This window comes from Homo sapiens, chromosome 6 (assembly GCF_000001405.40).
Source record: "Homo sapiens chromosome 6, GRCh38.p14 Primary Assembly".
In the NCBI taxonomy this organism is placed as follows: Eukaryota; Metazoa; Chordata; class Mammalia; order Primates; family Hominidae; genus Homo; species Homo sapiens.
The window spans coordinates 146879434-146894096 of NC_000006.12; the positions used below are offsets into that span (position 1 = coordinate 146879434).

Below are 14663 nucleotides of genomic sequence, written 5' to 3' on the forward strand. Positions count from 1 at the left end.
AATGCCATGCGAGAGCATAATCAGATAGCATTCACCTCCCCCTGAGATAAGGATGAAAGGCTTCTTGGACAGTTTCAATTGTGTTTTAAGGGTAGATAGGATTGGGGCAATTAAAGTGAGGGAAGAAACCCTACCAATGGTGGAAAAGGCATACACCGGAGAATAAAAGCAGTAGCAAGATACAAAGATGGGTTTGGGGTGCAGTGAGTACCTGCACTGGCTGGAATGGAGGTGTTTGGGATATGTAGGTCATAGGGCTGCCATACTTAGAGACCTCTCCGTGCTGAGACTATCTAGCCCACAGCCTCTGCTAAAGAATCCCCAGCCCAGCGTTTTTTTGGTGGGGGCAGGGAGTGGGGTGTGGACAGGGAGATAAAGGATCCAAAAGGAACCCAAACTAATTATGACTAAGGTTATGCTGTCCAGGCATGACAGTCTCCACTCAGAAGAGGTGAGAGCACTTAGACAAATTATTTATACCAACTACCTTTGGAATTTGAGGACTGGTCATGTGGCAGGCCAGGTCTCACTAATACAGGCCTCCATAACAACTCTCTCAGCACTGACTGAGGGGGTAAGTCAAATATTAAAAGTGGAAAGAGCCAGCACCCTTCTACAAAGGCTGGAATGTAACAGAAGTCCACCAAGAGTTTTGCCTAGGCCTTTCCTGGGCATGACAAGATAACGAAGCAATTCTTAAGAGGACCGATTTAGGACAAACAAGTTTATTGGGGCTCTGAAGAAACTCCCCAAACCTCCATGATTTAGCCCAAGACAAGATGAGGGTAACCATCTCAGCACTCAGACCCATTTAGATTAAGTAATCTGACTGAGACTCCAGAGGAAGGTCTTCAGGACTCAGATTTTAGTTACAGGTTAGAAGAAGTTAGTCACTTATGTCTATAGATGAATGCACACTTACACGTAGACATAAAGCTTAGAAGGTAAGCTTTAGATATTGGAAAACTCTGTAATTTTGTGTTGGACTGGTGATATTTTCCAGGCCTTCTCCCTGTACCCGGTTGTAGAAATAAACTCCCTTCTTCCCCAGTTCATCTGCATCTTGTTATTGGGCTATGAGAATAAGCAGCCTGGCCCTTGGTTTAGTCTGGGAACAGCCATGTGACAGCAAAGGGAAGCAGAGACATGACAGAAGGCCAAACAGGACATGATCCCTTATCCAGCCCCATTACACCTTGAGTCTTTCTTACTTGCATCCACAAGAAGCCAGGGGTCCCAGGGGTTCACGTATGAGATGGGGAGGTTAAAGCTTTGGGGACACAGCCCTTGACATCCTTTCTTTCCAAAGATTCCATATAAGCACAGTGAGTTCTGTACAATACACAGATTGTTCTTCCAGCCCTTGTCCTTACAAATTTATGTAACAGTCATTTTCATGATTAATATATGATCTGATGGCAAAAGAGTTCTGTTCAAGTATCCTGCTCATTTGAGTATTAAAAAAAAAAAGAGGACTAGAATTGTTTTTTTCTAAGACACTGAGCAGCAGAGAGGGTAAACTATGGTTAGGTAAACTTTGTGTGGAAAGTGGGAGCCCCATGGAAAGACAGCAGTTCCAGGCAGGTACAGCAACCCTGTTCTCCTTCTTCATATAAAATGCATTTGACTGTGCCACACAGCACATTTGGGTTGAGGGAGAATGTTGCAGGGAATGCAATTTTTTCTTTGTAAGAAAAGGTCAAGAGCTAGCAATGCAGAGATTACATCAACGATAAATTTTTGGATTCACTTGTTATTTGAAATTCTCTAAAATAAAACAACAACAAAGAAACAACAGCAATACCTAAAATACATGCCTCAGCAAGCTGACAAGCACCGCCACCACTGTGGCACCAACTCCCTTCCAACCCACAATGACAGGCCACAAACAGGCACCCAGAGTCCCGGCAGCTCAGAGATGGAGAGATAATGTTTCCACAACAAGTCTGGAAAGAAGGAGAAAAACTGGAGGGTAGACATCAGTGATCAGCTGTTTTCCAAAGGTGACTGAGAGTGACAAGCGCTTAAAAGAACACCAGTTTTTAATGCTAATCTGATTTCCAGTCTCACCTAACACCTCAGGCTATAGTAGAACTATCTTTCTTTCCAAGTAGCGTTTCCTCTCTCACATTCTTTCCCCAGCGGGAATCTTCTCTGATTTTAGATCATTTTAGCCTTCTTTGGTTCCCACATGTTGAACACCTAGCAAAGCCTTCCTTCTCAGGCACACGACCCAGCGGGGTGCTCCCCAAACAGCCATTGTCTTTGTCTTAATATCACAACCAAAGCAAGGTCTTTATTTCCCTGAATCTGATCTATCTTAAAAGCCTCCTTCCGCTTCTGGTTTCAATTGCTCACAATCTATTCAAAACACTTGAAAGCATCACTTTGTCATGATATTTCCTTTCTTAGGATCCTACAGTTACTCTTTATTGCTTCCTAAATCCAACTAAAATCTAAGACCATGGACTTTATTGCTTTCCAGCTACTGCATTTCCTATCCTCCCACGTTTGTTTGGACCCAACTGCCATATCTCCTATTAATTTACCATTCTGATGCAATCAGGAAGTTTTGTTATCCTTTCTCTCTTATCACACATACTACATTTTCCATCTGAACACATGTGCCCTGATCCTTGCCTGTATCAATTAAAATCTTCAGCATGATGGTTTTCACTCAAGATTTACCTACACTGAGTTTTTCCAAACAGTAAATCATTTTTCTTCCTTCTCAAACCCTTAGAACTCCATAGTTATAAACATAGAGGATGAGAAGGAGGAAGATGATAACTTGGATGAATACAATAATACGAACAGCTTACATTTGGGCAGAAATTTACAATTTGTATGGCAATTTTATATGCACATGCACACACACACACTACCTTATATTATTTTTATCATTGACGTAGAAGAAACTATGCCCTAAACTCTTTTCTTCCCCACATCTTTCTATATGCCACATAATGCTTTGTACACGTGGAATGAAAGATTGATTGATAAACTCAGTTTTTGATACATGATTTTAGAAAATAATTTCCCAATGAATGCTTCTATTTTCTTGCCTTACAAGTTGTGAAGATAACTAATTTACTACTCACTGACCTCTACCGGGAGAGCTTTGAGGATTAATGATAAAATTATAAAAAGCCTCATTTTACAAGGTCACAAAGAGAAGAAGTGGAATTTAGGAGAATCATGGCCCCCAGAGACAGCCAAAGGAAGCACGTTCCTTCATCTCTTCTCTATTTCCATTTCACCTTTAAAGATGTGAAGTAGGCACAGCAAGAGAAAAAATATCCCAGAACCCTGAAGTGTTTATCCTAAAAATCAAGATAGGCACTGGCCACCAGTGAAACTGACCAGCTGCTTTGGCAGAAATATCTTTCCATGGTATATTATCAGCTGTGCCCAAAATTCAGACCCCTGGGTCAACTTCCAAATAAATGCTCATCATTTCCACAGGCATTAAAACCTATTACCTTGGGGGCAAATGTTCTAAGAAAAGAAAATCATGGTTTTTCATTACTAAATCAGCACTCTGAAATAAATGTCTGTTCTATAACCATATTTATTAAGAAATTAATATTCTGGGCATTGTTTTCTCCAAGCTACTAATTTCTTCCTCTTAATTCTACAAAATATCTAATATGTCACACTATGGGATGCCCCTTGGAGAACAGGACAACCTCGCAGAGCTGCCAGTTATTGCCTTTCCTGGCATTTCTACAACACTCTGCCCTTTTGGTGCTTTCTGTTTTTTCAGAGTCTACTTTTTTTGAGGGCAATATAACTATACCCAAGATATATTTAAATAACCATTAATGAGTGCTTATCATGATAGAGGAAAAGTGAAAAAGTCTAGCACAGGAAAAAGGAAGGAAGAGTAAGAGGTAATCAACATGCAACTAGCACAGACTAGCATAACCTGATATGATGCTAGGTATTTTACTTATAATTTGAAATAATAATGCAATAAAAATTTACATACTCTTCACCTATATTCACTGATTATTACTATGCTGCTTCTTGGCTTTCTCTCTATATAGAAATAGACAATACATTTTAAAGTTGTAAACATCATGATATATCACCTATAAATACTTAAGTATCTATCTCTTAGAAACAAGGATGCTCTTCCACAAAAATCTATGTACCATCATCAGTCTCATTATTGATGTTAAGTTTGATTACTCAGATAAGGTAGTATCTGCCTACTCTCTCAATTGGAAGAGTGTATTTTCTCTTATAATTTGAAAGTAATATGGGGAGTTTTACTTTGAGATTATTCCTTTCTTCAACAATATTTTACCTAACTATTTTTACACCCATTGGTGACCCTGAATCAATTGTTACATTGGCAGTTACTGATAAGGAAACTTAGGCTCCAATTTGTACCTTCCCCATATTAATTAGCTAGAGCATGGCTGAGTCTGGCTTCAAACCTGGTCAGAGTCTCAGACTGATCATCAGCTGCCATTTGGGGTCATACTGAGACAGTCAGGTGGGAAGGGCTCCCTGGCAGAGCCTCCAACTGACCTGTGCACTGGGAGGGTTGCACACTGGGGTGGAGCCACAGAAGTTCCTGCCTATTGCAGTGGGGAGGAGCCTGGGCCCTCCTCTTCCTGGGTGGAACTTGGAATTCAAGCTGCAAGGCAGGAAGTCTATACTAGCAGGATTCTCACTCTGTGGAGAGTCCTTATTTCCCTCTTTTTCTCCTTTTCGCCAATAAATTCCATTATTCTCACCCTTCAAATTGTCTGTGAGCCTAATTTTTTGTGGCCGTGAGCAAGGACCTCGTCTTTAGCTGAACTAAGGAGAGATGAGGGGCAATACTGCCCTGTTAAGCTCATGGTAAGATGGGCCCTCATTCCTATAACAAACCCAGAGAGCACCCATTGCCTTTCTTAAGATTTCTATAACGTCTCCAGGATTACATTCTCATAGATCCTCATGGCTCCTCATGGCTCCACCTTCCTGGCCCTGATGAATGAGTGTTTCCTGTTCTGCACTAACCCAGATGCTTAGCTCAGGGTTTTTCTTTGATTTCTCTATACATAAAAGAGCCTCTATGTGGGCAGTGGACTTCACTGAAGGCTTGTAGAGATGTTAAAGGAAAGAAAAGCCTTACGGCTCCTCTTCACCAAAAATTTAGAATTGAGTATTCGCCATTTTTGTTATTAAAAGTCATTTGTCTTGCCCTATGTTTCCAGCGTCACTCATCCCAGCTCCTCTGTATTCATGCTCTTATGAATAAAAAGATTAACTTCCTCGCATATTTTTATAGAAATAAATTCAACACTCCCCAGCCCTTACACGTAACTCAGCTGTGCCTTCCTATGTGTCTTCCATACTCAGCCAAAGTTCTAAAATTATACATGGTAAAGGTTTGGTTAGGCCTTTAGTTTCCAATTCCTTCCAAGCCTTCTGAGGAGGACTAGGGAGGAAATTATTATATAACATCTTAGAGCAGGCCCAGAAAAATCAATGAGTTAGCCTAAGGCCCTACAATAAGTTCAGAGCTAGGCTTCTCTGCCTTTGAGTTTTCATGGAGGTAAAACATTAACTGGAATTGCTCATCAGGGGTGGTGAGAGGCTGACAGTCTCAGTAAGGTTGATGAAAGTGTTGGGTTTCAGTTTTACAGTCATTAGTTTAGGACTGTTTATGGAGTTATTCCTTTTTATCGAAAAAGTGACCTTTGCATGTCTAAAGAGAATAAGAGAAAGGGCAACTTTTCATAGAGATATTTAAGAGTAAATATAGGTATTTGGGAAGCAGTATCAAACTAAATGAATTATTTTCTACCGTTGAAAGAATCAATACAGGTTCTTGTAAGAAGAGAGGGATAACAAACACTCCCAAATCAGACCAAAACCTGATTTAACATAAGAGAAAATAGTCATTTAAAAAAATAGAAGAATTTGTAATAGCTGCCTTGATATTATAAATATTTTTAGAATGGTTTATAAGATTAGTTATTTTTTGAGCAGATTTTTTTCTTTATCACAAAGACTATAATTCAGAAAAAAATAGCAGAACTTTGGGCAACATCTATGCATGTTTTAAAATTTGTATGTTCATCTAAGGAAATGTTTGTGGGTGTTAAATATTAGATATATTTTATGCAAGTGATATTGCCAAAATGTTCCCCAAACAGGAGCTGTTCTCCCAACAACCAACTTTCCCAAAGCAGCCACTTACTTCAGCTTTCTCTTTTATACTGCCCAGTCCTTGGACATCAGACTATGGGACATCCAGTTCATTTCACACACAATCTTTTACTGCTTTGAAATTGAGAACAACAATGCCAATCTCTGTATTCTGTTTCAAAATGTAAGAAAGCGTGGAAGATTTTCCAATAGGCTACTGTTGTAGGACTTTCTCCTTTGTTCAGCTAAAAATGGGGTCCTTGTCACACTACTCTATCCCCTTGTCATGGAAGAGCAAACTCCAGAAAAGGAACAAGGTCCCTGGTTTTGTCTGCACAAACCTGAAAGATGCTACACCAAGATGTTCTCATCATTGCTACCTGCAGCCTGTTCATACCTCCTGCCCACCTCTCCTCCCTGCTAATTCTCGTATGTCTATTTTCTCCAACACTGACTGCTTTCTGGCTGTGAAAGAGCTCCCTGCCCTGTGAACGGGCTGGTGCCAGGGTTAATAAAAGTTTCTCTACTGCTGAGCCTCTCTGTTGACACTGTCTCAAGAGAAACAACTCCAGTAATGACTGTTCCTCAGAGGAAAAGAAGAGCCAAGGAGAAACAAATGAAATGTAAGGTGTTGTTCTTGTGAGGATCTTCTGTTTTCTGCCAGTATCAAAATGAACGCTCTCTCCCCTCCATGCCCCTCTTCTTCTCTTCATTGTGAGAATCTCTTGTGGACAGACATATTCCATTTTTGCCTCTCTATTTTTCAGAAATTATGTGGACAATAAGGAAATGGCAGAAAAAAGAGTGGTGACAAAGTCCCAGTTGAGCCAGAGGGATGATTGAAAAATTGGAGGAAAGACATAGAGAAATGTGGGTGGTTTTTCAAAGAGGAATTTCAGAAAAAGAATAGGCAGATGTAGCACAAAGCTGGAGAGATACTGGTTTGCTGTTAGTAACAAAATTCAAATGATTCTAGGAAACCTTTGCCAAGCTATTTTTGTTCTTATAAAGGTTATATTTTCTTTACTTTCTTTGTAAAAGGAGAAACTAAAAGAAATTTTGAATATTTTTCCAAAAAATCTCAAAGGAATGCATTAGCCTGATGAAAAGATTCACCTTCTTTTATTACATTTAATTATCAAACTGTGATTCCTATGAAATAATGAATAATTGCTTACAACTTTGTAATGCTTGTTATGAATGAGGCATTACTTAAGCATTTCACTTGGATCACCCCCGTTTTATAGATGAGGAAACTAAAACTTAAAGAGACAAAACAATTTGCCCAAATTTCCAAATTTATATAATAATTAGTGGAACCATGCAAATCTGCACAGCCTACAGGAAAATGCCAAAAGAAATATTTAGGTCCAAAAGGGATCAAGAGTTACACAATCTTAACGTTCTATCTAGGTCTCAATCAGATCCTCCAAAATTAATTTCTAGTTAATTTCATCAGTACTACTTTTAGGGGGACTGTTACCAGAAAGGAATCTTGATCCGGACCCCAAGAGAGGTTTCTTGAGTCTCATGTAAGAAAGAATTCGGGGTGAGTTCATAAAGTGAAAGCAAGTTTATTAAGAAAGTAAAGGAATAAAAGAATGGCTACACCATAGGCTGAGCAGCCCCAAGGGCTGCTGGTTACCTATTTTTATGGTTATTTCTTGATTATATGCTAAACATGGGGCAGATTATTCATAAGTTTTCCAGGAAAGGGGTGGACAATCCCCAGAATTGAGGGTTCCTCCTCTTTTTAGACCATATAGGGTAACTTCCTGATGTTGCCATGGCATTTGTAAACTGTCAAGGCGCTGGTGGGAGTGTCTTTTAGCATGCAAATGCATCATAATTAGCATATAATGAGCAGTGCGGACGACCAGAGGTCAGTTTCACTTTTGTTGTGATTTTGGTTTTAGTGGGTTTTGGCCAGTTTCTTTACCACCACTGTTTTATGAGGAAGGTCTTTGTGACCTGTATTTTGTGCTGACCTCATATTTCATTCTGTGACTTAGAATGCCTAACTTCCTAGAAATGCAGCCCCGCAGGTCTCAGCCTTATTTTACCCAGCCCCTATTCAAAATGGAGTTGCTCTGGTTCGAACACCTCTGACAGAACCAAGCAATAATGTCAAAATGATTGACAAAAAAATGGGTAGTGGAGTTTTCCCGGACCTAGGACATTAAGAAGCTAGCCAGCAATTCTCCCCAGCAATGAATACATTTGACCAAAAGAAATTCACAAAGGTCAGGGAAAGAATGACTAAAAGTTGTTTGCCTGGGATAGAGAGCATTGCAAACCTGCCTGATTGCGCAAATGCTCACTTTGAGAAGGTCCCATTATAACTGCTGCAGAAAGAGAACACAGAACTCTAAGAAAAGCAAAGCTGCCTCCTTCTCCCTAGAGAGAAGGACCTGAGGCACTCCTCGGTGCTACTGCAGGTAGCAAAGAGTCTGGCATTGTAATTGCAGTATTAAAGTGGGAATGCACATGGGTTCTTAATTGCTTGTAAATCTCTGCTTCATTTAAGCCTTGCAGAGTAAGTGACTTGCAGGGTAAGTGACGACACTTTCCAATCAAACTGGCAAATATTTTATCTTTCTGTGGCTTACAGTCAACAGAAAGTTGTCATTGTGTCTTCGATATTTCAGCTGCATCAGTGTTCAGAAATGGGACCTAGGAGAATCAAGGCCCTTCACTTGTGCATTAATTCCTCTGCCTGCCCAATAGCAGAAATAACACTGCACTCTCTAGTGCCTACTGCATAAATTAGCTAATGTCTATAAAGAATAATGAAGATTAAAATGGTGCATGTAGAATTGTCATGAAGAATGAACACACTAGCCATGCAGTACTTCCTTACTCCAAGCATATGTATTAAAGCTTATGACTATGAAACCTGTGACATTTTACTTCATGAAAGGTAGTAAAATGGTAGCCCGTTTGGAAAATGGTCTACTAGCCTTAAATAGGATTTTAAGATAATTTTAATATTTTAAACTCTGAACTATTTATTTAGGCTTCCTTTTTACATAGTCACTCATGGCCTGCCAGGATCATTCTGAGTGTTCTACAAAAGGGTTTCAAACAAAATCAGATTTTTTTTTCAATCCAGCTAGTAATGGCCCTTTCTTCTTGAATCAGATTTCAAAAAAATGGGAATATTAAAAAATAAACTTTAAAATCTGATTTATGGAGCTCTAACCACTCATCAGACCTCTTAAGTCCTCCCGCAGCTGTCATTTACCCCAGCCACCAGTGTGGCCCACCTGGTGTGCTTCTCTCAGCTCAGCCTCCCAGTCAGCTGGCCCCCACTTCACCACCCTAACGCACCCCAATGCAAATATCTGTATCCATGATGAATCATTGAAATTTTGCTTTCTGAATTATGTGACCCATCAACTAATCTATGTGACTGGATTCTAGAATTCCTACACCTAGGTCACACCATCACATTTTTACCATGGACCTCCTAACAGCATTATGTCTGTGGACATAACAGATTTTAGGCACTGTAACTGTCTCCTGGTCTCTCCCGACTGTGGCCCCCTCGGACATAACAGATTTTAGACACTGTAACTGTCTTCCTAGTCTCTCCAGACTGTGGCTCCCTCAGCTCTCGTCACCCCAGAGCCTACTTTATGTTCATCTCCAAACCCTCCCTCTGGGCTTCTTCAGTCCCTTATTTATTGTGGAAACTGTAACTCTGCCGTGATGGTCCCTTGGCACTGTCACTGGATGAGCTTCTTCACGTTGAGGCTGCTAGTTGGGAATTTTATCATTCTGAGAGACAGTCACAAAGGAGAAAGCGAGTGAGAAAGAGAAGCTCCAGTGACTCACTTCTGAACAAAATCCTGAAATAAGCAAGCTTTCCAAATGTGCATAAAATTTCTGCTGCATCTGTATGACCAGCACGCAGCAGTGAGTTGTATGTTCTGCTTATCTCCGGTACAATGCAGCATATTAAAATTGCCTCTAGAGATTCCTTCCCCCATCCAATAATATTCACAATGCCAGTGCAGTGTGGCAGGGCAGGAGTCCTTGTGGAGGTGGACATAGAAGGTCTATGGAGAACAAACTGGAGGATCTACCCCTTGGACACCACTGCTGGGCATTTGCAAATGCAGGGCTAAATTGGGGGCAATGGAGGGGAGGGCGAGGAAAACAAAGCTTGACTGTTACTTACATTTCATTCATGGAGGAGCAAAAAACTTTCCCAAAGAAAATCTCTAGATGGAAAGGATAATCTGGGAAAGATGCTCCTTCCTCCTTAATGGTAAATGACTCTTCTTAAAGAAGAAATTCTTAACCTCAACTCCATGGGGCCTCTGAGGGTTCATGGACAGAGTCCAAGGGGGATAATTCTGCAATTGGAAGCAGAATCACATCGAGTGTGTATGTGTGGGTGTATATGTGCATGTGCACACACATATGTGTATTAGATGAAGAGAATATTTCAGAAATAAGATTCTTAAATGTTATCAGAGTCTCAAAGTATAGTTTATAACCTCAATACATCTATAAACTTGAATAAAAATTATAATCTTAAAGAGGCCCAAGGGAGACATTCTGAATTACTATATGGAGGTAGTTTACTTGGGTATTGTCTTACAGAGCTATGGTAAATGACGGCCAGGGTAAATGAAATAGACCGTTTATTTTTTCTTTCTTGCTATTATTTATGCCCCCCTTTCTTATCCACAAACCCAGTGAAAGTGGGGTACCACGTGGAAAGCAAGGAGCTGGGATCCCAGGAAGTCATGTCAACCTTTGAGCCTCTTTCTTCAACTCTACAAAAGGATTAGGCCTGATGATACTTCAGGTGACCTTTCAACTCTAAATGTCTGTGGCAGGGTCTTTTTCCATACTATGACATAAATGTTTGTCCTCAAATACACATTCAATACAAAGAAAAATTTTAAATAACAAAAAACAAAAGAAAAAAACAACAACCAATTTTTTGCATTCTTCTGAAACCTCTTCAAAAATTAAGACCTTTGATGTCCAAAAACACTTCAGCATAACTACAGAATTTTGGCACTAATTGCTTATGATTTAGTAACAGTCCTTGAAGAGAGACTTGAAGTTTTTAGAATTGCCTATTTCTTGATAACTAAATACTAGCAGTAATTCTTAAACTTTAGTCTGCACCAGAGTCGCCAGGAGGGCTTGTTAAAATACAGGTTATTGGGCCCCACCCGCCAGAATTTCTGGCTCGGTGGGCTGGTGTAGAGCCTAACTTGCAACTCTACCAAGTTCCCCAGCGATGCTGATGTTCCTAGGTCACACTGTACACTGCACTGAGTCTACACTAGAAGGTCGTCTGGGCTCGGGAATAACCTACTTGACTCTCACAGAAAAGGCTTAGATCTATTTGTTTGTTTATCTCTGAAAGTAGATAAATGGCATTTAGAGATTCATGAAAACCTCGCTTCCTACCTGTAGGTATAGGCTCATTCCCTGCTAACTCATCCATTCCATTGACTTATTCCACCCTCTGGGTGGCAGCAGCTCTAATCTCTCCCATTTCCCCAAAGAGCAGAAAAGGGCCATGTAAATGTTTAAAAAAAACAAAAACAAAAACTGTTCCCACAGAGCTCTAGGTCTTGACCAGACAAAAACAGAAGGCCAGGCTTCCATGTCATGGCTTAGGAGGCATGAAATGAATGCTGCCTAGGGAATACCAAGTGATAGAACAGCACATGCTTGGTGTCATAAATTTGCCACCTACTCATTACAACTCATTCAAAATAAATTGGGATTTTTGGGGGTTGTTGCCCTGGGCGTGAACCTAATATTTTCACAGTCTGTGTTATTTAGTTCCACATGAGATGCTACCGCTTCTGAGGAGTCATGAGTGCTAGCAGATGGCGCACTGAGTGTGGGGGACTGCAGACCCAGATGGAGCTCAGGTCCTTGCTATGTGGCTTTTCTGAGTTTGCATTTCCTTGTTGATTAAGTAAGAACTACTTTGACTGACATGAGTCCTTGAGGAAAATTTTCAATTTCCTTTCCTTCCAATTCCCTATAGCTTGATCTTCATTCACCATGGGCCCTATGACCCCTTTCAAGGGTCCCATACAGATCAGAACAGCTTGGACAATACTTAAGCATAAATTTGTCAACTTTCAGAGATTATATAAACTCTACTTTCTTTCCTATTCTAAAATGAAAATCATCATGTTTATATTCTTCAACACACTGCTGAAAGTCTTCATAAAACACCTTCTAAATTTTCAGTCAAAATGTCTGGCTGTTTGACCTATCCAATTATCCAAGTATTTGTTGGGCCTGCTATTTTTAAGGCATTATGCTAGACTATATAGGGCAGGGGTTCTCTGACCGGTAGCATCAGCAATACCTGGAAACTGCTGGAAATGTACATTCTTGGGACTCGGCCCAGAACTACCAAATGAGAAACTCTGGAGTTGCCTTAAGTTGCAGCTGTAAGTTGCAGCTGTATGAGTATGACAGAGCCTGGGAGTTCCCTGGAGGGACAGGGTATGTGGGGTTGCACTATTAGAAGAGGATTCATGGAGGGAATGTGTTAGATCAAGGATGAAAAGATCTTACCATACAGAGAGATGAGGAAAGGTAAACAAATTTCAGGAACAGCCTGAGACAAGCTTCGGCAGGGAAGGTAAGTGTTAATTCAGAGAAGCTCTGGGTGATGAACCAGGAGAGTCAGAAAGGTGCTCCATCATGGAGAATTTAGAACACTGCTAGAAATCTACTCCCAAGAAGTGTGAAGCCATTGTAAGTTTTTGAGGAGGAAAGTTACTCAAGCTGATCTGTGTTTTAAAAAATAACTCTAGCAGCAAGATGAAGGATTTGATGTACAAGGTTTTAGAGGCAGATGATGATGTTACAGCCCCTTCTATGAGTGACTGTGAGTTCTAATTTAAGATCCCCAATATTGTTTTAAAACTGTGTCATTAATATAAGGATTGCATGTTATGATTAAATGAGAAATGTTGGCACTCTGATTGCATTCTGACATACCTCTAAACCACTGGATTAAATTAACACGTTTATTGGAATTTGGGTTTTTTTTCTTATGTTACAAAACAAAATAAATTTTGATTGAATGGTATTTCTCTTCCTAAACTTTAAGCAAAAGTATGCTTTCAAGTTAGTGGTCTTATGCTTATGAGTCAGCCTAACATCCTCTTTTCTGGTAGAATGACCCAGCCTTCCTGTTTATCATCCCATCTGGCTTGTTGGTCAGCTCCTTCCACTCTTCATGAGGTAGGTCTGGTTTGGAGCTTCCCTAGTGTTTGCAGCCCACATGCATCTCCAGGCAGCCCATTCCACACACCACAGGCAGATCGCCCAAGTCCCTGCCTCTGCTTTGCTAAATACCAACCCATCCCAACCCCCAAAAGTCATTCTTCAGGTGAGAAAGAGCTATGTGGCCTGAAGGATTTGTCATTTCAGTGGGACTTGAAGGATGAGTAGGACTCAGGAGGCAGAGGGGGTGGAACACAGGTATCTGAAAAATGTTGGCAATTACATTTGGAAGTTTTTAACTTACTTCCTGTGAGTGGAAATGCTCAGTGTTCAGCCTGTTTTTAAATCTCAGCCCAAGTACTTATTGTGTGATCTTTGGTTTCTCATGTTCCCTCAGTTCACTCATCGAAATGGGGATAATGATGTCTACTCCTTGGGGAGAGATAAGACTAAGATGGTTAGCCCAGGAACTACTATTATCATTTCTGAATTGCTACAAGCAAACTGAAGCCCATTAGCTTAAAAAGAAGTATCAATCTTACCATTAAGTTAATTAATAATGGTGAAGATACTCATGAGTTTCTTTTATAATTCAGTGATACATATTTTATTCCACGTATTTAAAAGTAAGGGGTGTAGTTTGTTTAGTAGATGATAAAAACTTCAACTCTAGCTATGGAGTTGGAGTGCAAGAATTCTTCTTAAATAGCACTATCAACTCATTTTAATTTCTGTGTTTCAAATGAAAGGAATATATCAAGTTACACAGAAAGTAGATTTTATGATTTATTCTTATAAAATGAATGAGAGTCATAATTTTGTTCCAACAATACAATGTTTAAATTCCTTTCAAGTTAAATTTTCCTCTAGAGTCAGAAGACTTTAACCAACACTTCTGACGCAGTAATAACTATTCCACTTCACACTGAAGAAGCTACAGTATCTAACTTTGAGATATACTCAGAAAGAGAAGGAAGTCACTTAAGTTCACATATCCCATGAGTGGGATCTCAAGCAAGCATTAAAACTGAGTCTGTGTTTCCTTAGGATAAAGTTGAGGCTGACTGGACCAAACAGACCCACAAGGATCAAACAGGGGCTTCAAGGAAACTCAAAGTAGACAAGGAAAAAGAGCAGAAAATTTGGTAGGAAGTCAAAGCCTATTGAAGTGACCAACATGGGATTGTAGAACTATTTGTTGATATGTAAGAATATGAATATTAACACTAATTAATAAATTCCATCATAGCATATGCACAATGGCTCACATAATTTCTGACACATGA

The 14663-nt window shown here is 40.0% G+C and overlaps 1 long non-coding RNA gene across 1 annotated transcript in view, besides 2 other annotated features; it reads right to left on the reverse strand.

Annotated features, from left to right (window-relative positions):
* Positions 1–14663, reverse strand: part of STXBP5-AS1 (STXBP5 antisense RNA 1) — a 363227-nt gene that overhangs the window by 38046 nt on the left and 310518 nt on the right. The window lies entirely within an intron of this gene.
* Positions 1000–1294: an enhancer, noted in NCBI's record as "tiled region #4352; K562 Activating DNase matched - State 5:Enh". NCBI's record gives its function as "activates a minimal TATA promoter and a strong SV40 promoter by Sharpr-MPRA in K562 cells {active_cell/tissue: K562}" and the evidence as "EXISTENCE:reporter gene assay evidence [ECO:0000049][PMID:27701403]".
* Positions 12540–12834: a silencer, noted in NCBI's record as "tiled region #12413; HepG2 Repressive non-DNase unmatched - State 22:ReprW". NCBI's record gives its function as "represses a minimal TATA promoter and a strong SV40 promoter by Sharpr-MPRA in HepG2 cells {active_cell/tissue: HepG2}" and the evidence as "EXISTENCE:reporter gene assay evidence [ECO:0000049][PMID:27701403]".